The sequence below is a fragment of the Homo sapiens genome, chromosome 2 (assembly GCF_000001405.40).
Source record: "Homo sapiens chromosome 2, GRCh38.p14 Primary Assembly".
NCBI classification, from domain to species: Eukaryota; Metazoa; Chordata; class Mammalia; order Primates; family Hominidae; genus Homo; species Homo sapiens.
Window position 1 is genome coordinate 157,304,777 of NC_000002.12, and position 23,735 is coordinate 157,328,511.

The window sequence follows — 23,735 nt, forward strand, 5'->3', positions numbered from 1 at the left end:
AAGCTAAGCATGTAAAATTGAGGACCAATGTACTGAGCCCCCTTTTATGAAGTCTGGCAATTCTGTGAGCATCCAGTCTGCATCAGTGCAGCACCCTGAGTTAGAGCTCTTTGTTAGGCATCATAGAACAGGAAGGACACAAATAGTGTCCCTGGCAACAAAGACTTCAGCTCCTCCCAGCTCAGGAGGCTTTCCCAGGACATGTCCTATAGATTCGGCTCTGCACAGCTGTTCGAGAAATCTGAAAACCCTAAGTTGCACTGTTAACCCATCATCTTGTTAGCCCTGCCCAGGATGTCAAAGGGGGAAAGGAAATCAACATTTTTCTGCATTAAATGGTGACTTAAAGAAAGCTACCTCCATATTTGACCCTGTAAATCCATTAAAAACCTGGGGGCCTGCCAGAAAGTGCCTTTATGCTTGGCTCTGTATTAGCTTTCGTGACTTTCCTATAATGAATTGTAGCTTGCTTGGGTCATTAAGAAGATTCTGACAGGGAATCAGCTGGAATCTGCTGTTCTTTGAAGGACTCAATTTATCTATGATTCAGTGCTTAAGCAGTCAAAAGGCTTGAAGGGGTCAGTCAGGGAACATAGCTCATAACTCTTATAGGTGCATTGACTTTTAGTATATGCATTAGATAAACTTAAGACAAGAAAATAATTACTTTTCTTGCCACCTTTGCTCATTTGTTATTTAGCATTCCAGGCAAGGGTTAATTAAAAGCTTCTGTGTGTTGGCTCTATGGCTGATCACAGGCCAAAATTAACAGATTGAAGCTGTACTATTACAAGATTACATTATGTCTCTGTTAGAGATAGCAACCAATAAAACTGGATAGTGCTAAGTAATGCTAAGCTATTAACTTTTAACCTTATTATAGTTTTATATTCTGTATTTTCTAAATGTGTCTGAATGTCTTGTTTTACTTTAAAATATTTTGTAATTCCTGTTTCGTATTTTGCTTTTTAGCTTATTAATGTGGCTTTGGGTAAATGCATTTCCATTGAAAACACTACAGTCATTCTGGAAGACTGCGATGGGAGCAAAGAGGTATGCTAAACTGTTTTCTATCTCATGGTAGCTGATAGGTGCAGGGTATGACACATTCATTGCTCAACTGAGAAATTCATCTTTGCCCAACAGAAAAATAATTTTCTAAATTTCTTTGTAAAAAGAGAGTCCACCACTAAACACAAAGACAGTGACTAAGGGAATAAAGGTGTGGGTCCTGCAGTCAACTCACTGGGTCCAGAATGAATCCAGTCCTGGCACCATCATTTGCAAAAGCGTGTTAACGTCTGCAGATTCCTTAACCTTTGGGTAAATGGTAGTGATAATCATGCCTACTTTTAGAACTGGTGTGAGGCTGGAGTTAGGTAATACATATGAAGCATGTAGAACAATACCTAATGCTTACTGCTCTGTAAATGTTTGCTGTAATAATAATAAAGATAAAAATGTAAAAAATGCATAACATAGATAAAGATACTAAAGAGACAACATATTTCTAAATAATCATTCTAAGGAAGCAGTCTTATTGTCTGATTCCATTCTTCTTTCCCCTCATTTTCCCGCATTTTAAGGGAGTAATGGAAATAACCAAATCCATGATCCATGGTAGAAACTCCTATAGGAAAACTCCCCAAACTCAGAGCGCAATGGTTAGTAGAGGGAGTCGGGCCAGGAAGCAGGGAATAGAGACTCCTTCCACAGTGCTGGAGGTGAGCTCTGAGTGATTACACTTCCCTCTCTAACATACATTCCTTAACAGTTCTGTGTTTGTGGAAACAGTTATTGGTTTGAGTGGCAAATAGGACTCAGAGGAAAATGGATTCATGAATAGAAATCAGTTCCCAAAATTGCAGATTGTTCTTTGGTACAGAGATTATTTTGCAATGGTAATCTAGGCTTGTTAAGTCTTACATCTTTGCTTTGACTTCAAGATACTGTTTATATTTTTTGGTGCATCCCATCTCTACCTCTTAACTCAGAGCTACTACTAGAAGAAAAGGTATCTCTGTTGCTATATTTAGCTGTGAATTGTAAACCTGAAGCCAAGGCCACTCTTTTTTAATTAGGAAAGAAAGGAGTCAAAGGGAAGTGAAGAAGTGTTAAAACTCATTAAAAGAAATAAATTTCACTTACTAACAAAGAGGAAATAAAGTCATAAATTGTAAAAACAAAACCACAATTATTTCACATTATATGAAAGGAAAGTATTAAATAATGCATTTTTTTTTTTTTAGGAATCATCATAGCAGGGAGTTTTTGTGCCAGAGTAACCAGCATTTTATCTGAAAACCCAAATTCTATTCTTGATGACCATTGAGTCTTTCTCAATTGGATGCTGAGAGGCAAAAGTATAAATTATGCAGGCTTCGACTTCCACAAAGCCCCAGCTCCCTTTTAGTCTTTGTTGCTCATTTTTAGCTTCTGCCTCTTGTGGTTTGCTTGGGTAATAAAAAGTAAAGAAATGTGGAGGAAGTTAACTCATTTTCAGCAGAATTAATGAGGCTTAATACCAAGCCAGTGACTACAACATTCATCCAAAAAGGCTCAGAAAGAATAAGACCCTTAGATTGAATCATCAAGCTCTATCCCTTACCTTACCTAAAAAGTTTCCTTAGTTATTAACCTTTAAAGCAGTTGAAACGTATTTTTTCAAGGTAATATCTAGCTTCTCTTAGTAGCACATAACTTCCTTATATTATGCCATACTTCCATGCTTCCTACATGTTAATGTTCACGTGAATCACCTGGGGAGTTTGTTACACTGCAGATTCTGAATCAGTAGGTCGGTGATGTGGCTGAGACTCCGCACTTCTAAGTAGCTCCCAGCTGATGCGGATGTTGGTCCAAGGACCACCCTTCCAATGGCAAGGTCCAACACAATGACTTTGATCTAACCTGATAATCAAAGTTAAACTTCACTTACAATACAAATGATTCATTAGGTAAAGGCATTTAGATAGATTTTACCAGAAGCCTATTTTTTTCAAATATGTTTATATTAGTACAAAACGATAAATTTCCCACAGACCCAGAGCATTAGAGTAAATTGACCGGGTAGACAATAGTAGGTTGTAAACAACTGAAGAAAAATGTTTCAGAATTAAAAACATGGTTTCATTACCTGAATTGGTACTTATTTTAGACACTGGCAATTTCTCCAAGAGCAGTTTCTATGAACTGGGGGATGCCAACCTGGTAGCAACCTGATGATTCCTCATGCTAGTAGCAAAGAAGGACTTCCACCTTTCCTACAATCGGACAAAGCCTTTATGATGGTTTTATACAAGGAAGCATAAAATCTCCACCCAAGAAATTTAGGGCTATGACTGGTATCTCCCTGTAGCCACCCGTGGCTTAGAACCTTAATCATGTGGTAGACTGAACATTCCAATTCTTTAAGCACCAGGCTTGTCGGGATTCAGAACACTGAAATGACATCCATATGCAGACAGAATTAATTGCACTGAATAATTTTTATTATTGTAACTAACATTTATTGAAGGCTTATTGTGTGCTAAACACTTGACAGTCATTACCCCAACCCTCTGAGATAGATACAATCGCTATCCAACTTAAAAATAATTAGAAAAATAAGATTAGACAGGGTAAATAATATGCCCATACTATCAGAATTACAAATGATAATACCAGGACTTGAATATAAAATGTCAGATCATAGTTCCTATATTCTTAACTGTTGCTAACAAAAATGTTTGACAAAGCCCCTGCCTGTGTTTGCTGCCTGAAGTGACCTCTTTATTCATTTCCCCCACAGCTTCAACAATTTAATTACACCTGGTTAAGACTTATTAAATGTGGAGAATGGTGTATAGCCCCCATCCCTGATAAAGGAGCCGTAAGGCTGCACCCTTGTGATAACAGAAACAAAGGGCTAAAATGGCTGCATAAATCAACATCAGTCTTTCATCCAGAACTGGTAAGCAAAAGATTGGTACCTCTTCTTTACCACAAATTTGACTTTTGATCAAATAGGACATAAAATTCTCATTGTCACCTTCCTCAGTCAGAAGTTTTGTGTGTTTGTGACCATGGGATTATGTAAAAGTTCATTCACAGAGATGCATGGATATCTTTCGAAAGTTGACAAGTCCTTTTTTTTTTATTTTTCAAAATTTATTTCAAATGAGTTATTTTAAATAGAAATCACCAAGTTCTTCTAGTTGCATTGCTATCATTTGCTTCAGTCAATCAACAACACCGAAAGTCAGGCTTAAAGGCTAGAACTGGTCCCCACTGGTCATCAGTAATGCTTATAAGGAGAGGATATGGGCAACACAGGAAGCAGCATGTCTCCTACAAGTCCTGCACTTTAGAGTGAATCTGGTTCCTCATTCTGCCCCCTTTCCATAAGAGACTCTTCCCATCCCCTGTGGTACCCAGAAACCGGGGCTTCTAAGGGTCTGCTGGAGCCAACTCTCACCAGCTCGCTGGAGCCACTTGTGCACACCCTTGCCAGCTTTGCATTTAATCATACCACATTGGTAGCTGGAAACTGGCCATATTGGGAGTATTTATACCACAGAAATTGGAAGATGTTACTGGATCAGGGATACTTTTCTGAAGGTCCAGTTGTTCCATTTACCAGAACATTCCTGGTCTACTGTATTCATTCTCAAAGTCCTCTCCATTTGTCCCAATTACATTTTAACAGAATACGGAGTCATAAGCCTTGGTGTAGGAGCTTGGGATTGGCGAGAATAGTCTCAGAATTGCCTTCTTAAATTTTCTACAATCTCTCCAGCAGGTAGCCACCAAATCTACTGTCTACAGTAAATATTTGGGTATTTGGAGACTCTCAGTTTGTCCTGGGCTATCCCCAAAGTAAGCACCTTTGCTTCCTTTAGGTGCCTCCGTTCCTTTTAACAACACAATGACTATTCTTTTCTCAACATTTTTCTTCCTGCTCAGAGCCAAAACTGGGGCCTGAGTAATGTATTCTCCAACATTTCTCCCATTAGATCTTCTCTGTTGTATTTCAATTCTTTCTGAACAGTTTTTTCTCTTTAGTAATAATGGTTATTATTGAGTTATTCAGAAAGATTAGGAATTATTAGCATATATGCCACTAATTTTATTTTGCATAGTGTTAGGAAATCCATAAACATGCAGTGTAGTGAATAACTTACATCTTACCTTCTCCCTGTGCCAAAGTCAGGAGGGAGGGAAGGAGAAAGGGGGGGATGTGGTAAGGAGAGAGAGAGAGAGTGAGAGAGAGAGAATATGAATAAGAACGAGAACTAAAACACATTCTTCATCTCCAGAATTGAATCTTGGGAAAGAGTTCAAGCATAGCAGTTTCTCTTAAGCGGTAAGCTGATTTGGTAAAGGAGGTAATTTAGTTAAGATAGCAAAAATTAGAAAGCCTTTTCCCTACCTTGTTTGTACCTATGACTTTGGAACATTTTACACAGCTGCCTTCTGTCTTGGGTTTCCCTTTTGATGTTACCAAATGTCCTGGAGATGAATAGCTTGGTGATCAGCTTTCTTCTTTTTTCAGTTTTTCAGTAGTTTTCATGCTATTGCTACTAGGTCTCCCATTATATGTAAGTCTTAAACAACAAGAGAAGTATAAAATGAGACTTCCTTACAAATCCTTGACAATACTCAAGCATCGTATTTCCAAAATCCTGCAAGGGTGACAATACTTTTGTAGCAGCAATCTTTAAAATAAATTATTATGAAAGTCACCCCTGTTTGATAACTTTTTAAAGTTTAAAAACAACATGTGTAATTAAGATTGTCTTTGTCATAGTCATACGTAATTAAGAAAATTTATAGATGAAAAAATATATAAGCCATTAGTAAGGTCTATCTAATTTATCTACCATTTCTAGGATATTCACTAAATATTAAGCAATAATATAACTTTCTTTAATGCTGTTGACTTTTTCCTAATCTGGATTTTGGACATCAGTTATTATGAATTGTCAGAGATTATGGTAAGGAGCTCATAAATAAAATACATCACTTCCAGAATTTTGTAATCCAAACTCACAAAGACACCTACTTTAAAAATTAATTAACTTTTTGTTACGGTATGTATTCTTTCTTTACCATCAATGAAGTAGTTATCATCTATCAAATCCAATAAATGTCATCTGTAATGTTTTCTCTTTAAAGAGTATAGTTCTCAGCCATATCATCAAGAAATTTTTCTTTTGCCTCCTGAGGACTTAAAAGTCTTATAGCTTGGTGGAGGATGATTACTTAGTCTGAGACAGAGACAAATTTAATACTTTTCAAAGTCTGTGTTTATGTTAATAATTTAGTTCAGAAGAATTCTTAAAAATCAAAAATATAACTGCCTGTCCATTTTTTTAATTGATTTTCATTTCTTCATATTGCAGTTATCAAATTCAGCCTGTGGCTCATTCCCAGCTCTTCTTTCTCTCCAGGTGAATCACATTGTTTTTGAAAACAATCAGCAATTATTATGCTTGGAAGGAAATTTTTCTCAAAAGATCCTGAAAGTAGCTGCCTGTGACCCAGTGAAGCCATATCAAAAGTGGAAATTTGAAAAATATTATGAAGCCTGAAGTGTAACTGATGTTTTTATATAGTAAACCCATTAAATACTGTGAAAATAACACTGAACTTGGAAACTATATTTCTCAGCGGTAGTTTAAATTTTCAATTTTAATAACATTTGAATGGAAGATTTTTTATAAATCACAATATTTGGAATACCAAAAGATGACTCAGGAAAACAGTCCAACATTGGACTGAAGTCCTTCTTCGGAACTGGGTGGCCTTTGAATTGCCTGCTTTCCACCCTATGCTAGACCTCATCATGCAAATTTCCCTGTGAAAGCTAACAGGTAACTGGAAATGAAGACAGAAGGACTTGAGAAAGCATGAGGATATTCCCAATGACTATGTTTGGTAATAATCAGCTCTTCTGGCCCACAAGTAGGAATGATCAATGAGAACTTAACTTAGTCCTTTATTTGGGGATTTTTTCATCAAACAAAAATTTCTTGAGTTCTTATGGCTAGAAGACCTCAGATGCCCACAGCTGTCACGTTTGTGAAATCCCTCCAGACTACATGCATGCTTACCTAACAGTTTGAAATAGTATTGATCTACTGCTGGTAACCCTGCTTGATGGCAGCATTTTGATCTAAATTACATAATGGTTTTTCCCAATCTGAATCAGTGGAAAAAAATTTAAGTGAGGAAGAAGAGGCCTTCAAATGCTTATTTAATTCTAGGTATGAACACTATTTCAGTTCATTTTGTGCTTTTAAAACTACAGTTTTAAAGATTTATGATACCAATAACTTCCTAGATTCATGTGGATTTTTTTTAAGGCAATGAAAAAAGGCTGGATTATAACACACTGTAGTAATCAAAAATGCATTTAAGCATTGAATGCACTCTAGTGCAGGGCCAAGTAAGAGGAGTTGAAATGAGTAAAGCAGAAATAGAGCTGCTGAAAGTTTCTTTTATATAAAAATAATAAAATACTACTTTAGATATAGTAGCATTCACAGGGATGAAATATGCGAAAAATGGGTTCTAAAATATTTCAAAGGGAAAATGAAGTGAAGGAAACATCATGAAAGGGGAAAGGAATGAGGTAAACAAGTCTTAGGAAGAGAGTTAAGAAAAAATTCCGCTGGACTTGGCCAAAGAAAGAAGGGGATCTAGTATCTCTATGAAGGAAAAAAGAGTAAAGCCCTCAGTGTGAACCCAGTGAGAACACTGACAAATTTGGGAAAAGTTAAATACTGATTTCATCCAAATAAAGCCTCTAATCTTAAGCATACCAATACTTTGGCATACCAGAAGACACCTTAGAAATCAGGATAGCCTTTGCATTCATTTTGGTAAGAAAACTGATGCTGAGAGGATAAATTACCTAAAAATCTTAAAACCCAGGCAAGTTAGTCAAAGAATCAAGATTAGAATTCAGGTTTCCAGAGACAGGGCTCATTCTAATGCCTCAGGTCACTGGCCCGAACAAATCTGCTTCACAGAATTCCTTAGAAAGAGATACACAATTCTTTGCTGGGATTGGGTCCCTGGAGGACAACCATACTATATTCTTGTTAATATGTTTTTTCTTTTTTTAAATTTAAACTTTTGTTCAGTTGAGATGATTGTGAAACTAGGTATCTTTCATTCTGACTCCTAGTTTAACATTTAATTTTGACTCCCAATGAGTTACGTAAAAGCAAAACTATAACTAAGAATGGGAAAAAGAACTATTTCTGCACATTTGTAACATATTTAAGATGTTTTCTTCATATAATTGAAAACTGCAGATGAGTAAGAGAATGACTAGGAAATGAGATACAGTTATATGACACATAATGATGTTTTAGTCAACAATGAACCACATATTTGACATTGGTCCCAAAAGATTATATTAATAATATGGTATCTTTAGTGTGCTTTTCTATGTTTAGACACACAAATACTCACCATGATGTTACAATAGCCTACAGTGTTCAATACAGTAACATGCACAAGTTTGTAACCTAGGAGCAACAGGGATTCCATATAGCCTAGGTGTGTAGTAGGCTACCTACACCATCTAGGTTTGTGTAAGTACACTCTGATATTCACACAATGATGAAATTGCCTAATGACACATTTCTCAGAATGTATTTGTGTTATTAAATGATGCATGACTCTAATTCTTTTCAAAACAGAGCCATATGGGGCAAGGGGGATGGGGGGACGCAAGTCAGTTGTCAAAAGACTAATTGAGTTACTGACAAACTGAACATGCTAGGTGCCTCATGTAATTCTTCATGTAACTAAAAAATGTTGAGAGGTTTTTTTCCCCCGGGTATATAGGCTCTCTTTTTATCCGAAAATAGTTTCCACAAAGAAGTCAACTCTGTTCTGAAAAAAAATGAATTGCATTTTGAATACACTTATCTTTGGGTATATCAACTAAAGGAAGTTGGATTTTTTTCCTTAACAGAAACTTCTGCAGTCCTCTCAGTTCACATCCTTTCTGACTTTACCCTGACAAACTTATTATATAAAGCTATATTTAAATCTATATTGTCAATATAACAAAGGATTGTTTTTGAACATCACAAATTTGTTCTTGGATAGAATTTTATACATTGCTTTTCATCATATATTTGCTCAGTTACTCTAAGAAGCAAGGAACTGATCACTAGTTGGGAATCTATATGGGCCTAAACTTGAGTGTATTGATTTATTATTACATCTACTACCAACATTTTCTTAAGCATAGCCTTCTAAATTTTTTCAGGAGATTAGAATAAAGGTATACATGCTACTCGGTCTTCTGGTAATTCTAGTGATAAACCTTTGGATGAGACAGGTCCTAATCAGCACTGAATTCTTCAATAGGAGGCTGTGTTACAGGAGCTACAGATTTTTCCCTGGATTAGCTTAGGTCATTGCCTTTACTTTAAAAAAAAAAAAAAAAAGTCTATGCATCTTGTTACCTTGAATACAAGGGTGGTCTTGATAATATTTGACAGCACTAACCAACTTACCAAGCCATCTAAGTGCTTCTGAGACTTTTCAGTTTGCACAATTTCTTTCTCCTTTTCAACAGTTACCCAGCGCTTCTGCCCTACTCTCTTGTAAGCTGACACAGTTGTTGTTGGTACAATCTTGTTCTATCACCAGCATCAAATTTGCTTAATACTGCTTGTTGACATCCCCTCAGCTGTCATTCACAGCAAACCACCATGTGCCATGATCACAATGTATTATTAGCTTCGCCACACTAATTTGGAAACATTCTTTTAGATATTAAAACACCTTACTTCTAGTATTAGTTTGGGACTGCAGAGGGGCAAAGATACCATTTACAGTATATAGGAGTCCAATATTCCCAACCAACCTTGATTTCATGAATGGCTTGTAATTATTTCTAGCAGGCACTCATGCAATAGAATAAGATTGAAACATGCCAGAGAGTACCATCTTTCTTTGTTTTAACATCTCTGATTGAATTCCTATATTCAGAATACAAGAAAAAAAATTTACCAACCAGGCGCAGTGGCTCACACCTGTAATCCTAGCACTTTAGGAGGCCAAGGTGGGTGGATCATGAGGTCAGGAGTTCAAGACCAGCCTGGGCAACATGGTGAAACCCCGTCTCTACTAAAAATACAAAAATTAGCTGGGCATGGTGGTGGGCGCCTGTAATCCCAGCTACCTGGGAGGCTGAAGCAGGAGAATTGCTTGTACCCGGGAGGTGGAGGTTGCAGTGAGCTGAAATTGCGCCACTGCACTCCAGCCTAGACAACAGAGCAAGACTCTATCTCAAAAAATAATAATAATAATTTTTACCTCAGAAGAAAGCCCCAAAATCTTGGATTAAAACAAAAAAATGACATTGGGTGATGGGAAAAAAGAAAGGAACTAATTATCATTGAGTGTGTGTAGGTACTATTTGTGTAGGTGCTATATGTGTCCCATCTCACTGATGGGTACAACTCATCAAATGACTCTCATTCTCCCTGTTATATGAACAAGAAGGATAACTCCCACATACAGATGAGGAATTTGGTAAATTGCCCAAGGTCATCCCACAAGTAAGAGATAAAACCCAGTTTCCATTTTATCTGGCTCAAAAAAAATTTCTCTCACTATACCATGCTGCTATATAATTAATTTTCTTCTTTACAAAGGGCTGTCATCTCAGGTGGGTGCATTTAAAAGTTTCTTGGTCTCAGATTACTGATGCCACAGTATTGAGATGAGATTGAATTAAACCCCTTTGGCCTCTTTTGGATGTTGTATAAACAGAAAAAAGAAGCATGGTCTCTCTCTCTCTGTGGTAACCAATTGATGTGTAGGTATAAACATGGCTACCCCCACATGTTTTGCTGTGATCTATCTCTTTGACTTCATGCAGAACCTATTCTTTTTCATCTCCTGGACCAAATGTGAAAGAAAGAAGTGGACATGTGGAGGATTCTTTCTCTGTGAATAATATTGAAAAAGCTCCATTTTCTGGGGAAATACCCATGGTTCATTGTCTGATGCCAAGAAAGAATTCAGGACACAGACACACATGAGGAGTGGGTTTAGGAGTGGAAAGTTTAATAGATAAAGAAGAGAGTGAGAAAGCTTCCTCATGTTGAGAAAGACAGTTGCTCAAGAGAGGGTTTTCTGGGTTTGGGGCAAGATTTGATTGATTTCATACAGAGGCTTGAGGAGGCGGTGATTGATATACATAGGGCCCGGGGATTGGTTTAACCAGGTATACTACTTACATAGCCGGTGAAAAGACTGGCCCTCCCACCCTAACCTTTTATTATGCAAATGCATCTTCTACCTGGCTGTCACCATGACATTTGCACACGTGGCTTCACTTCACCAGTGCCATGTCACCCACACACCTGGTGACAAGGAAAAGGGAGCAGGAATCACCATATTGAATGTGCCTGGCTTCCAGGTACAGCTGCTAGCTTTACATATGGGAGCCTCTAGCTTGCATATCTATACTTGCAACTTGACTTTTCAGGCTGCTTTTTGTTAGAAAATAAGTGGCTTGGGGGCTGCTTTTTATTAAAGGAAAAATCCACCGAGAACTATTTTACCCTTTCTAATGGCCTAAAATAAATTTTTAATGACTCCTGTATTAATATTACCAACCCTTGATCCCTCCAACCTTTAATCAAAGCTAGCAGATTGCTCATCTTGAACAGAAATAAAAAGTTAAAAAGTTGGAGTCCTTTAAAACACAAACCATGACTTTTTATTCCTACTCATTGTGTAGGTTGTCACTACTGTGCTTTTGCAACAACTTTTGCATGGGTTACTCAATAGTTGCTACAAGACAAAATGCCTTACAATTAGAAAAAAAAATTAACCAGAGATATTGTACAAAATATTTATTTTTTGACAGTTTTGAATAAGCCATATAAAGTATTATATATCCCTAATGAAGCTTAATGGATAGTATTCCAGGTGTTGGTGGTGTCTGTATCTCAAAGAAAGAAAAAAATAACATCACACTAAACAGATTTAATGCCTCTGTTTTCAACCTAATGGAACAATAGTTATCATTTCAATTAGAGTCGCTTTGCAAGTTTATGTGAATCTTTGCTTTGTAAAAACACATACAAAACACAAGGGAAAATTCTCATTTTCCAGCAAATACAGCAACTTCTAATATGCTGTTTCTAATAATGAGTCACCATCAAATAAGTAATAAATATTTTTTTCAAAAACAAGAGCTTTCTGTTTTATTATTGATTGACAGATATTTACCAGTTTAAGGATATTGGTCATAAGCATCTATATAATAAACCCTTTATATTAGATGTTAAATTAAAATTTTTCATAGCATGAATAGATTTTTAAGTGACCACTCAAAAACATAGCAATTTTTGTAAATATACTGTATGTGTGTGTATATATATATATATATATATATATTTTTTTTTTTGATGCTTTGATCTGGAAGAAAGAAATATCAAGAGTTTCTATTCACAACATAAAGAAAATAAAATGTTTTTAGATATTTTTAACTCTTTCAGGTGTATAGCTTTGTCTGCATCTGGCCTTCTGCACAAAAGTATCTCAAGTGAACTTACACTCTGGATACCATTTTCCAAACTTGAAGGAGTAATCAAGTTCTTAATTATCAGGGTGCTTGTTATTTAGTTGAAGATTACACACATGTCTTCTGCTTCAAACAACTACCCCAAATTTGCTAGTTTTATACATATTAGCTTAAAAACAAGAGAAGCCAAAGATTAAGTAAGTGAATTGTGTTAAAGATTGCCTGAAAACATTTGCTAAGGGGAGAATAAAACTAAAACTGTGGAGTATAAAGGATGTTGGAATTAAACATTTTTAAGTACTTTTTCTTTTGCATCTGATCGACTGAAGTTATTATAAAGAAGGAATCAAGTATGTAACTTTAAATTCTAGGTAAACATCCAAATTACTTTCTAAATTCATTTCCAAAATTCTCCTGTGCTGGCAGTTAGCTACTAGAGATCATCATTTGATTTTGTAGTTTGCCATGTTCTGAGTGAGTTCAGCTGCTTACTACTACCCATGTCATTGTGTTTGTATTGATTGCCTGGCTCAGTTATCTCATGTTCTTCATGAACTATATACACATTTTCATTGTCTTTAAACAATACTGAGTTTTGAAGTTAAGTAGAATATTGTAGGGGTTATCAGAAACCCATATTCATTGTGGTATGTTTCTGTCTGATACTTTAATATTGGTAAATATAGTTTTTGACATTGCATTTTACAATCCTATTGTTTTTTAGAGTGATGAAAGTTCAAGTTTTAAGAGAAGTGGTTGCCTTTCTCATACTGTCAAACATATTTCTTCTTTATTATACTCTGGTGCTTTATCCTTCTCCATAATTCTCTATTATTACTTATTTTAAATGTTTTCCCTATCACATTGAAAAACTTAAATGTCCGTTCTCCATTTGAAAATATGCCAAAAGTATGATCCCATGTAAATATGCAGAAACGATTGCTATGAAAATGTCAGCATAGTTTAAATGTATTACTCTGATGATTACAGAGATTTCTTCAAGTTGTTCGTGTTAAGATGCATCTTAAACATGATCTCAGTTCCTTAAAAAATGATAAAAATTTTTCATGTATATTACATATCTACCTACCAGAAATCCTTTTTACAATTTTATATACAATCATTTTAAGACCTTTTTGAAATAAATAATGCAAATGAACTAAAATAAAGTGTTCTCTTGATTTCTGAAGAGGTATTCATTAATTATCATAGTAGCTGCTGATATACAAGGATTCTTTCTAAAGTTTAAAAGGCAGCTAAACAAAATAAAGTCTAGAGACCAGAAATAAAGACACAAACTTTTATTGAGAGTAAGTCAGACACAGCAGTTCTTTATTTAAATTGTGGATAGTTTGGTAGGTAGGGGGAGAGAGAGATGGTAGCAAATTCTGTGCCTTCAATGTAGCATTATATGAAAGGTAGATTTTATATTGGCAGAGAAATAGAGCTATTATTAGTTTCTATTTATCTAGCAACAGAGGAAAACAAAAAATCATGTAAGAAATACCAGCATTTGCACAATAAATTAATTCTCCCTCTTCCCTGGTACCAGAGTCCTTACCACCCCTGAACTTTGAATCACAAAAGCTCAAGTAAACCTTCATGTGTAGCTACCAGTTTGTGTTCTTAATCATGTTCCCCCTGAGTTTCAAATATGTTAAAAATCCCCCATGCAATCTGAATCAGACCTTTGTCTTTCCTAGGTTACAAAGACTCAAATGGCCAACCATCACCATTATGTTACCTGAGGTCACTTAACTCTGTGGCTTTCAACTCTGTGGCTTTCAACTCTGTGGCTTTCGTGTAAGATGGCGGTATAGGGCCATGGACACCAATGCCAAAGAATAGTTTCAGGGTTTTTTTGCAAAAACATTGTGTCATCCATGAACATGAAGCATTTACCAACTAAACATACCCTAAAATAGTTTCTGTTGACTAAATCTTTCATAGTTCATTCATTGTCTGGTGAGAGCACAGAGCTAAGAGGACCAGCGTTAGCATATATTAGAGTCCCTTAAGAGGTACTTGCTTTGCCGTGCCACATAACCATAGGTCACCCACCTCTAGTTCTACAGGAATCCATCATCTCTGTTGGAATAACTCAAAATACAGGCTCTTGATGGTAGGTTAAAAACATGGTCCTGTTATGTGATAGATAACACAATACTGTGTTTTGAAGTTAAGTCGAAAATTGTAGGGGTTATCAGTAACCTAGAAAAGAAAACAGCTTGTCCATGTAGAAAGATTAGAGGATCTAAATTAAATTGGAAATTGTCCTATTGCATCAATCTTCTCCCTAACTTTATCAATAAAGACCTGATTTCCCTCACTTTATTCTGGAAACTGATATTGTAACACATGAAATCCATAGGTTGTATAGAATGAGGGTAACAGAACTTTTATGTTATCTGTTTGAAAGAATGAAAGGAGCACTGTAATCCTGAATTCAAATTGGAGTCTTGTAAACAACTAAATAATAGTATGTGATACTATGGAAATATAATATATGACCCGGAAGGATTAAAGAAGTTGTCATTAGAATATGTGGGATTTATGTTACACATAAATAAGCAGTCATCTAAGAGGACTAACATGGAGTTTTTCACAAAATGAAAAAGAAAGAAACAAAGGGTTGAATAGTACAATGAAGACTGTATTACATTCAGACAATAAGGAATTGTCTTTTTATTTGCAGGGCAAAACAAAATCTTTATCTGTGGTGATAGAAAGTTCAGGGTAATATATATGGAAGCATGAAATGAAAAATTGTGGAACAAACTATCTAAGAATATAAATATAGTCTCTCTTTTCATAAATATTCAATACGTTATTTGACACATTGGTTTGAGTGAAGCTCCACAAGTACAATTTTAAGCATCTTGATTTGGGCTGAGGTCCAGTAAATTATATATTCCCAACAACTATCAGAGCTCTCCCACTAAAAATACATGCTCACGCTCTACTTTGAAAATATTCTAAGATAATTATTTCCATTTTCATAGTAACTAGTACAGTTATGACTAGCATTCTCTCAGGTTTCTAAGGAAAGAAAATTATTCTGAGATACTGTTAATAAGAGAAAATGTGGTAATAGAGAGGGGCATTTTCTTAAAATTGTGCTAAAGCTGTCATTTTTATTTTTAATGACTTTAACTGTGCTAGACAAGATTTTATTTTCAGCCACAGAAATAAAACTATCCAACATAACTCTTTAGTCTGCTGCCCACCAATCTTCTAGCCCCTCCCAGTGTCAACCTCACAATGGGTTTAATTCAGTTTGAAAGCATAAAGGCAACATTTAGCAAACAGAATTATCCTGACTGACAATTGCTCATCTCCCTCTGAGAGAAGATTCAGTGAATGGTAACACCTAGGAAGGAGGGCTATAGAATGTTTTCTCTGTAGATGCCAAGGAAAGCCACTTAACATATTGTTTGGTGATAATAGAAAAGGCACAGAATTTTGGAAGGCTTATTGCCAGAGTCTGCAAAATCAAGTTTAAAAGTAAGAGAGGTTTTAATACCAGACTTTCCATCACTCCAATGTACAGGAAGAAAGATACCAAAAGAAATACCAGAATCATTTCAAATAGTCCCCTCAAATAGTCTCATTTGATGACTACCTTTCCAAGCATTGCTACATTTATAGCCGAATTATGCCAGATTCCCCCAGGGGACTGACTGCTTAGTGCTTATCACACAATGCTATATTAGTGAAGTTTTAAAAGATAAATGCCCAAGAATTTATTTAAAGCTTTTTGATTTGAGGTTATCAGACTGAATTTTTATCTAGGGTTATTTCCACATTATTCTACAGTGAAAAAGAGAGTCAACTTCCACCTCCCTCCAAGTGATAACTCAAATAAGGCATAGAAATATGCACCCTGGGGCAATAGAATTAGCTTTTCCTTTAGTGGGCATGAGAATTTCTCAGTTCCAGTTAGTTTATAAATGCATCATAGACTCGAATTCATCAATTCTTTGCTTGGTATTTCCCTTTCTGATTTTCCGATAGGATATTGTATTGTATCTGGAATAAGCATTTCTGGAGATATCACTCTTCTTCCCTAAGGTTGGCTGCTCATCAGGTGTCACAGCTTGGGAACTGGCACTGCTCAGTGGGGAGTCCTCACTTGCATCACCTTCCTCTTTAAATTGAGAAACCTCTTCATGTTTTTTCTTAAATTCTATCACTCGAACTTCATCTTCATCATTATTGCAATTATCATCATCATCATCATCAATTTCTTCATCCCAAACCTTCTGCTCCTCATCATGTTTAGAATGTAACATGTCAGCTTGGCTAGGTTTTCGAAATCCCAGCCATTCAATTTCAGCTGCCTGGTGACCTTTGTTCTTCCTGTCCTCATCTTCTTCCTCTTTGAGAGGCTGCTCAGTAATCCTCTCCTTCTGTCTTCTTATTTCCTGGTTACTGCCACTCAGAGGAATCTTCTCCCACTGATGCCCTGTAGCAAAATCAATTGGTAGATGAGATGTGTAGAGATTCCAAAATACCCAGCCATTAGTCTGTTATTCTCCAAATAATTTTTCTTGCTAATCACTTCCCAACACATGTTTTATGGGATATGATTCTGTGGGTTACCAATATGTTTTGCACAAACAGGCTACACAGCCAAATTAATTTCAAAAACACTGCATTAAATACAGTTAAATAAGCATCTTCAGAATTTTTACAAGCCTTTGAAATGCTAACGAGTATTGTAAATCTGTAAGAAAGTCAACAACCTAACTTCATTTGTCTATGGAACTCTGTTGTGGACTACTGTATTTAGTGAGACTGGTGTTCCCTGAGACACACTTAAAAAAAAAAATTCTTGTCTAGCCAGTCACAACTGGATACGTGCACATGTAAAAGGAAATGTTTGGACTTATCTTTTTCTCACACATACACACACACACGCACACACACACACACACACACACACACCTCAAGGAAAATTAGAAAAATACTTCAGAAAGAAAAAAATGCTCGTTTCCAATACTGAAAATGATGACTGTCCATGTCTGGTCACTTTTCAAACAGCTAGATCATACCAACATACCCTCAACAATATTTATTGAATATGGTAAGAATTAATTATAAGGAAGCTGAGGTTGTTCTCTGAGCCTTCAGCCCTGCAAGGCTTCTGTGGGAAGTTTCAGTCTGTGGTGTACACAACTCAGAAATCTGTCTGGGTTACACCCCTTGTCAGGCCTGAGTTCACCATTTTCTTTTGACACCGTGAGAGTCTATAAGTAAGGTGAGAGGCAATGTTCCTCTTTGTCTTTTTCCTCCACAATATTCTACTCTCTCCGAAAGATGTTCACAATTCCATTTTCATCCAAGGTGTTCAGTTCTCTTATTTTTTTGTTGTTTTCTCACTCTAGGGAATACATAGTAAACTTACAGAGATAGAAGTAAAGATGGGTGATCACCCTAATTTGTTACACACAGCTGCTATCAGGTCGCTAGTGTCCCGTCAATGTTCCTAACATTATCCATAAATACACATTAGAATGTTTGCCATAATCTTATGCTTTGTTTTATTTTGTTTTCCACAAGAACCAAAGTAAGTGATATTTTGTTTATATTCATGACTCAGCCATGAGATTGTCACATATAAAATTACTCCTTGAATTTAAATTATAGTTTTTCCTCAATATTTTTAGCATCTTTATATGTTTTAATCCAGTAACATTCTTTTTGAAGATTTTATAGCTGTTTGCCACTGTGAAGATAAAACACACCAAAATCTGTGCCTCTATTATGGAGGAAAAACATACTCCATCAAACAGGAAAGGATTCATTGAGGGAAAACTTAACCAGCGAGACCATCTAGCTGAAAACTACAGCCTGCTTTCATTCTCCATTTGATGAAAATGAAAGATCTAGACAACTGTTACCTGCAATGGACTCCTGATCAAACATTTGAAAGGGGCTCTAGATGATAGGAGGTTGAGATTCTGCCTCTGAGAACTTGTTACATTGGAAGCAGAATAATTAGGGCAAAGAGGTTATTAAGTTCATATTGTGAAGTCTTAAGTCTTAAAAATTATCTCTGGTAATGTGACAGCTTGACACTGTCTATTGCTTGCTACATATTTCCTTAAGTGTTGCTACACTGCTAAGCAGACATAGTATGAGAGGTGTTCAGGCAAAGGGAGCAGATGTAGGAAATAGCCAATCACATTCCTGTCCTCCTTGACATCTACTATTTTATGTGATGTTCTAATATTTCAACCAATAGTCTCTTCAATATTTTGCCTGTTAAAGTCCTAACAAAGCTAAATTGGTTAGGTTTAGCAAGCTGACTTCAATTTGACATAAGATGTGTATGGCTGCAAGAGAGGAAAGAAATGATTAATTAATAGATTTTATCCTACACTTTATTTGGGAACTGTTTAAATGTAGGTGTCTTAGAAAAATCTAAAGGATTTTGTGTCTCTTAGTCTATTAAGTTTATTTAAAATTTAACATAATCACTTCAATGTTCTTTTTATTCTTCCATTTTCTTAAAGAACACAATTAAAATTAACTTTATCACCCTGTCTTTCTTTGACATGAAATAGTTAACAATTTTGTATTTACATTAGAGGCCTATAAAGTAAATCATTTCGTGAGATTACTTTAAACTGTATGTTGGCCGGGCACAGTGGCTCACGCCTGTAACCCCAGCACTTTGGGAGGCCAAGGCAGGTGGATCAACTGAGGTCAGGAGTTCAAGACCAGCCTGGCCAACATGGTGAAACTCCGTCTCTACTAAAAATACACACACACACACACACACACACACAAAATAGCTGGGCGTGGTGTCAGGTGCCTGTAATCCCAGTTACTCAGGAAGCTGAGGCAGGAGAATCGCTTGAACCCTGGAGACAGAGGTTGCAGTCTGCCGAGATTGCACCATTGCACTCCAGCCTGGGCAACAAGAGTGACACTCCGTCTCAAAAAAAAAAAAAAAAGCTGTATGTTAATTGTAGACTTTTAGGAAAGACCCGTTTTTGAAACATTTACCTTTCACAAGGTGCACACACAGATTTGGACACACCAAATCAAAAAGTAGGGTTGACTCAGTGGACTAACTTAAGAGATAGACATCACGTTGGTATGCCAATCAGCTATGCCATTCCATGCAGCCTCAGCCTTGAACAGTCTGGAATGCTTTATAAGGTGGAACCCACAGATAAGTTAAGACTCTCTTATCTGCCTACAGCAGCTTTGAAAATTTGAAGTCATTGCCTGGATTGCTTTGTCAACCCCACGCTCATGCAACATTTCATGGAAAGACTGTCATCCATACTCAGTCAAACAATTTCTGTGTACAAAACTGTAGTTCTTGTTACCTTCTCTGAATGTCATTTCATCAGCACTAGTTTCTTGGAGAGAAAGATCTGTGATAGCCTTATGAACAATAAAGAGTTTCTCTTCTGGGTTTTCTAGGAAAAAAATATAAAATCAGTATTTTAACATTTAAAATATTTATTGTTCAACAGTTAATAAGTTATCAATTTAAACTCTAGGTAGAAGTCTTTAATTTTAAATCTGATCATTAAAATTTACTATTTCACTCTTTGGATTCATTCTTTATCAATTCAATTTATTTACTTAATGATCACTTTATTGATTGTAATCTCTCCTTTAATATTTATATAAGATATATATATAAGATATAGAACCATAAATTCAGAGAACTTCAGTTATATTTAGAAGGAAATTTTAACATTTTGAATTCTCTTTGTTCAAATAATATGGGGCTGTCCATAATCATAATAAATACAGTAGTTAACATTTAGCCAATACTTACCCTAGACTTGTAGTTATTATTATTATTCCGCCTTCTTCTAGTGAAAAAAACTCAGGCTTCGGGAGACAGAAAGTTGTCTGGGGTCACAGCTGTCAAATAGACCAGCCTGGATTTCACCAGAGGCAGAGGTTTAGTCCTTATACTATGCGTAGTAGAATAAAGGGCTACATTTTTGGGGTGTCCAGCTCATTTCGATAATAGTTTATCAAAAAAATCCAGGGTAAATTTATAAGTCAAAACAAGAAAATTAAGGAGAAGGGAAACACTTTACCTTTTAGCATTTTGTCCTCCATGGATGAGTTGAGCAGCATGTTCCCTTGTAATTTTCTTCTTTCCTCCTGACTTCCTTTGGTGAGTGCACCTTCCAGACTGGGTTCTACCCTGTAGTGTGGCAGGGGGCTGTCCACATCAGTCAATTCCTCACTGATTTTAGTGATTGTTTGTTGACCGTTTTCAGGTGGTTTATCCCCATTACACTCAGCCTGGGTAAATGTAGCCGGAACATCTGTCATGATGTGCGGTTGAATCCGATCTGGAGAGAGAGCTTTAGGGAAACTGAGTGAGTAGATCCTTGATAAGATACCTGCTCTTGCCTTCAAGTCCTATAGTTCCAACTCCTACTCTAAGAGCACAAATTATTCACTTTAGTACATAATAACAAGGTTCTTTTCCTAAAAGTATCCAGACAGAGATTAGAGCAAAAGCAAGAGGATTTGTCAGATCTGCCAGGAGCCATGAGCAAGAATCCAGCCAATCACCACCTTCTTTGTTGCTTGCCAGTTCCCTGGCAGAGTTAAAGGCATCCTTTTGATTTACATAAACAAACAATCTGAAGCAATCAGGCTTTTGTGTTGGCATGTAGAGAGGGACTTTCAGCTTGTCAGTCCCCCTCTGGGAACAGAGATTTTTGTCCCTTTTCATAATGGCCCATTGTAATTTTCCCTGTAACAGGAGCCACAATTGTCCCACAGCTTTAATCCAGAGAGAATGACCACCTTGAGGCATATTAGTTCTGTGTAACCAGCTTAACATTTCCAAACAGATTTTGTTCAAGTAAAACCTCAGCTATTTTGTAAAGGACAATGGCATTGTTTCTTATTTATTAAAAAATAAAACAGCTTATGGAAAAAACCTATAAACAGGACAACTTTACTGTAAATGGTTCTGGCTGCAGATTTGATGGTGTGCTTCCAGCAGGCTGGAGAAGGGACCTATGAAATAAACAAATTCTACCAACTTGCTAATACCAAAAGTTTTATAATTTCAGAGTAATTTACTTAGTCTATAGCTTCTTATCCTCTAGTTTATGTCTGCTGAAGCCCAGCCGATCCTTTAAAACCCTAATAAAATTATCGCCATGAAGGTTTCTCCTCCCCCAATCAGAATTACAATCCTTTCTATTCCATACTGATATTACACAATGCTGGTAAAATGTAGAGGACCAATGCAATCTGCCCTTGGGAGAAACAGGTGATTATGTTAAATGACTGCTACTGACCACCCCTTCCTTTTTAAATCTTTTTCTTTTTTGGATTTCTCATAGTACAAAATGGTTCCAGAGCCTTTGCCCACACAGCTCCTTCTATGTGAAATGCCCTTCTCTTCCTCAAGCCCAAGCCCTGGGCTGACCAGCTTCCCTAAGTTCTGTTTTTAAGCTTAAATATCATCTCCTTAACTACACTATCTCTAACCGCCAGGATTAGGACAGGACTCTGTTACACATTGTCTTTGCCCTTCAGAGTATTCTTCATGGTTGTAACTAAATAAGCAACTGCACAATTATCTCTGTAATGTCTGTTTCACCAACTGCAAACTAAGTTTCATCTGGCGAGGGGCCAGTTTAACTTGCTTACATGTGTCCCCAGCACTTAGCATCTGGCTTGGAATAGTAGCACGCAATAAAAATAATTATATATATACACATATATACACAAATAATTATATATATACACATACATAACAAGAATTATATTATATATATAATATATACAATAAATTTTATCCCCAAGAGAATAAATTTCAGATCATTTTTAAAGAGAAGAAGAATAGGTGTTGAAGAGTTGTAGTAAGCATATCACCTTTAAAAGTGTGTCTAGGGCTGAGCCCATTCAGGTCTATATCAGGGACAACACCTCACTCTTGTATAATCCCCTCTCCCTTGTCCTTGGAAGACATCTCTAATAGATCCTAGATCTCCCTCCCGCGTCATCACCAGCTGTTCTCTAGTCAGCACTCTAATTCTATGTTTGTTTGATTGTTTAACTGTTTTAACAAACGCTCATATCACACTTATTATGTGCAAGCTACTGTCCTAATTGACTCATAAATAGTAATACACTTACTCTTCATAACAGTCTTCTGAGGTAGGTGCTGTTGTTATCTCCATTTTATAGACTAGAAAAATGAAGTGCAGAGAGATTAAGGAGTTCAGCTAGTAAGGTCACAGAGCCAGCAAGCCTACTGATGAGAGTTTGCAGCACAGATGAAGCTAAGCGCCATCCCTGGCCTGTGTGCAGATGTTTCCTTGGACCAGAGATCCCACAGGGGTTCGGCATTAGCACCTTGGCAGTAGAGACAGTTGTGGCCAGGAGAGGGCAGCAGAGAGCCTAAGGCAGTCTCAAGACCTGCCCCAGAGACACCCTGCAGCTGCTGAGGATGATGTTCTGGGAGCGTCCTCCCAAGAAATTCAACTACAAGCTTACTGTTGAGAAGATATTGAGTGGAATCATATGGGAGAATGCAGAAACTAAGACCAAGCTTAGGAACAAATGGGGACATACTAGATTGTGAGATCCTTAGGGCAGGAAGTGGCACTAATTCAACCAAATGCCCTGCGATAAACACAGGAGTACAGAAATACATTAGCTCCAAAGGTCATGCCTCCAATCACTCCGTTCCCTCGGGGCTGCCAAGTACCTCAATCCAGGGACATAGCAAAGTTGAGACAGTTCAGATTCATTGTCTCTCCTACTCCTAGATTTCTATTACCCCATGGCAACGGGCACCTCATACCCATAGCCTAGCTTTTATGGGAATTCGTGTCTTTATTTTTGGATTGCCTTCTTTCTAAAACCATGCTGTGACATTTTTTATGGCCTTAAAATTATTTCAGTTTTGGAAAGATAGAGAAATGATCCAGAGTTCTGTCATCCTTGGCTAACCATGTGTTTACATTTATTTAAAAACATGCTTTTATGCTGCCCTAGGGAATAATGGAGGTCGGGTAAATGGTTTGTAACGTGTATTATTTTTTCCTACAAGTAGACGGCAACATGAGACACATTTAGCAACAAGATGAGTCTATCCAACTACTAGATAAAACATAGGCTATTTTGTTCATAAAGAGGTAAGTTGTCTCCCATTATTTGTAACAACCTATGA

At 36.6% G+C, this 23,735-nt stretch overlaps 2 protein-coding genes across 9 annotated transcripts in view, besides 1 other annotated feature; one reads left to right on the forward strand and one right to left on the reverse strand.

The window, feature by feature from the left end:
* GALNT5 (polypeptide N-acetylgalactosaminyltransferase 5) overlaps positions 1-13,715 on the forward strand; it is a 60,787-nt gene extending 47,072 nt beyond the window's left edge. For 2 of the 4 annotated variants that reach the window (NM_001329868.2, NM_014568.3), the window contains 3 exons: positions 973-1,053; positions 3,791-3,952; positions 6,432-13,715. In NM_001329868.2, the coding sequence (NP_001316797.1) occupies positions 973-1,053; positions 3,791-3,952; positions 6,432-6,572 (384 nt within the window). In that variant the 3' untranslated portion in view covers positions 6,573-13,715. Of the gene's footprint in view, positions 1-972; positions 1,054-3,790; positions 3,953-6,383 lie in introns of all 4 variants that reach the window. The other 2 variants (XM_017003237.3, XM_047443070.1) reach the window with 1 other exon arrangement.
* Positions 13,716-13,854: 139 nt separating this feature from the next.
* On the reverse strand, positions 13,855-22,936 carry ERMN (ermin). 5 transcript variants are annotated; one of them, NM_001009959.3, is made up of 4 exons: positions 22,697-22,936; positions 20,626-20,898; positions 19,894-19,986; positions 13,855-17,015 (listed from the first exon to the last, which is right to left on the reverse strand). In NM_001009959.3, the coding sequence occupies exons 1-4, from the start codon at positions 22,701-22,703 to the stop codon at positions 16,495-16,497; spliced, it is 894 nt and encodes a 297-aa protein (NP_001009959.1). In that variant the 5' UTR covers positions 22,704-22,936; the 3' UTR covers positions 13,855-16,494. The 5 variants fall into 5 exon arrangements, with proteins under 5 accessions (NP_001009959.1, NP_001291273.1, NP_001291274.1 ...); NM_001304344.2 differs by lacking the exon at positions 22,697-22,936 and adding an exon at positions 22,433-22,533 and having other exon boundaries at positions 20,626-20,886; NM_001304345.2 differs by lacking the exon at positions 22,697-22,936 and adding an exon at positions 22,433-22,533.
* Positions 20,932-21,481: an enhancer, noted in NCBI's record as "OCT4-NANOG hESC enhancer chr2:158182220-158182769 (GRCh37/hg19 assembly coordinates)". NCBI's record gives its function as "activates a minimal SCP1, AML or CMV promoter by ChIP-STARR-seq in primed H9 embryonic stem cells {active_cell/tissue: H9 hESC(primed)}" and the evidence as "EXISTENCE:reporter gene assay evidence [ECO:0000049][PMID:30033119]".
* Positions 22,937-23,735: the final 799 nt, after the last annotated feature.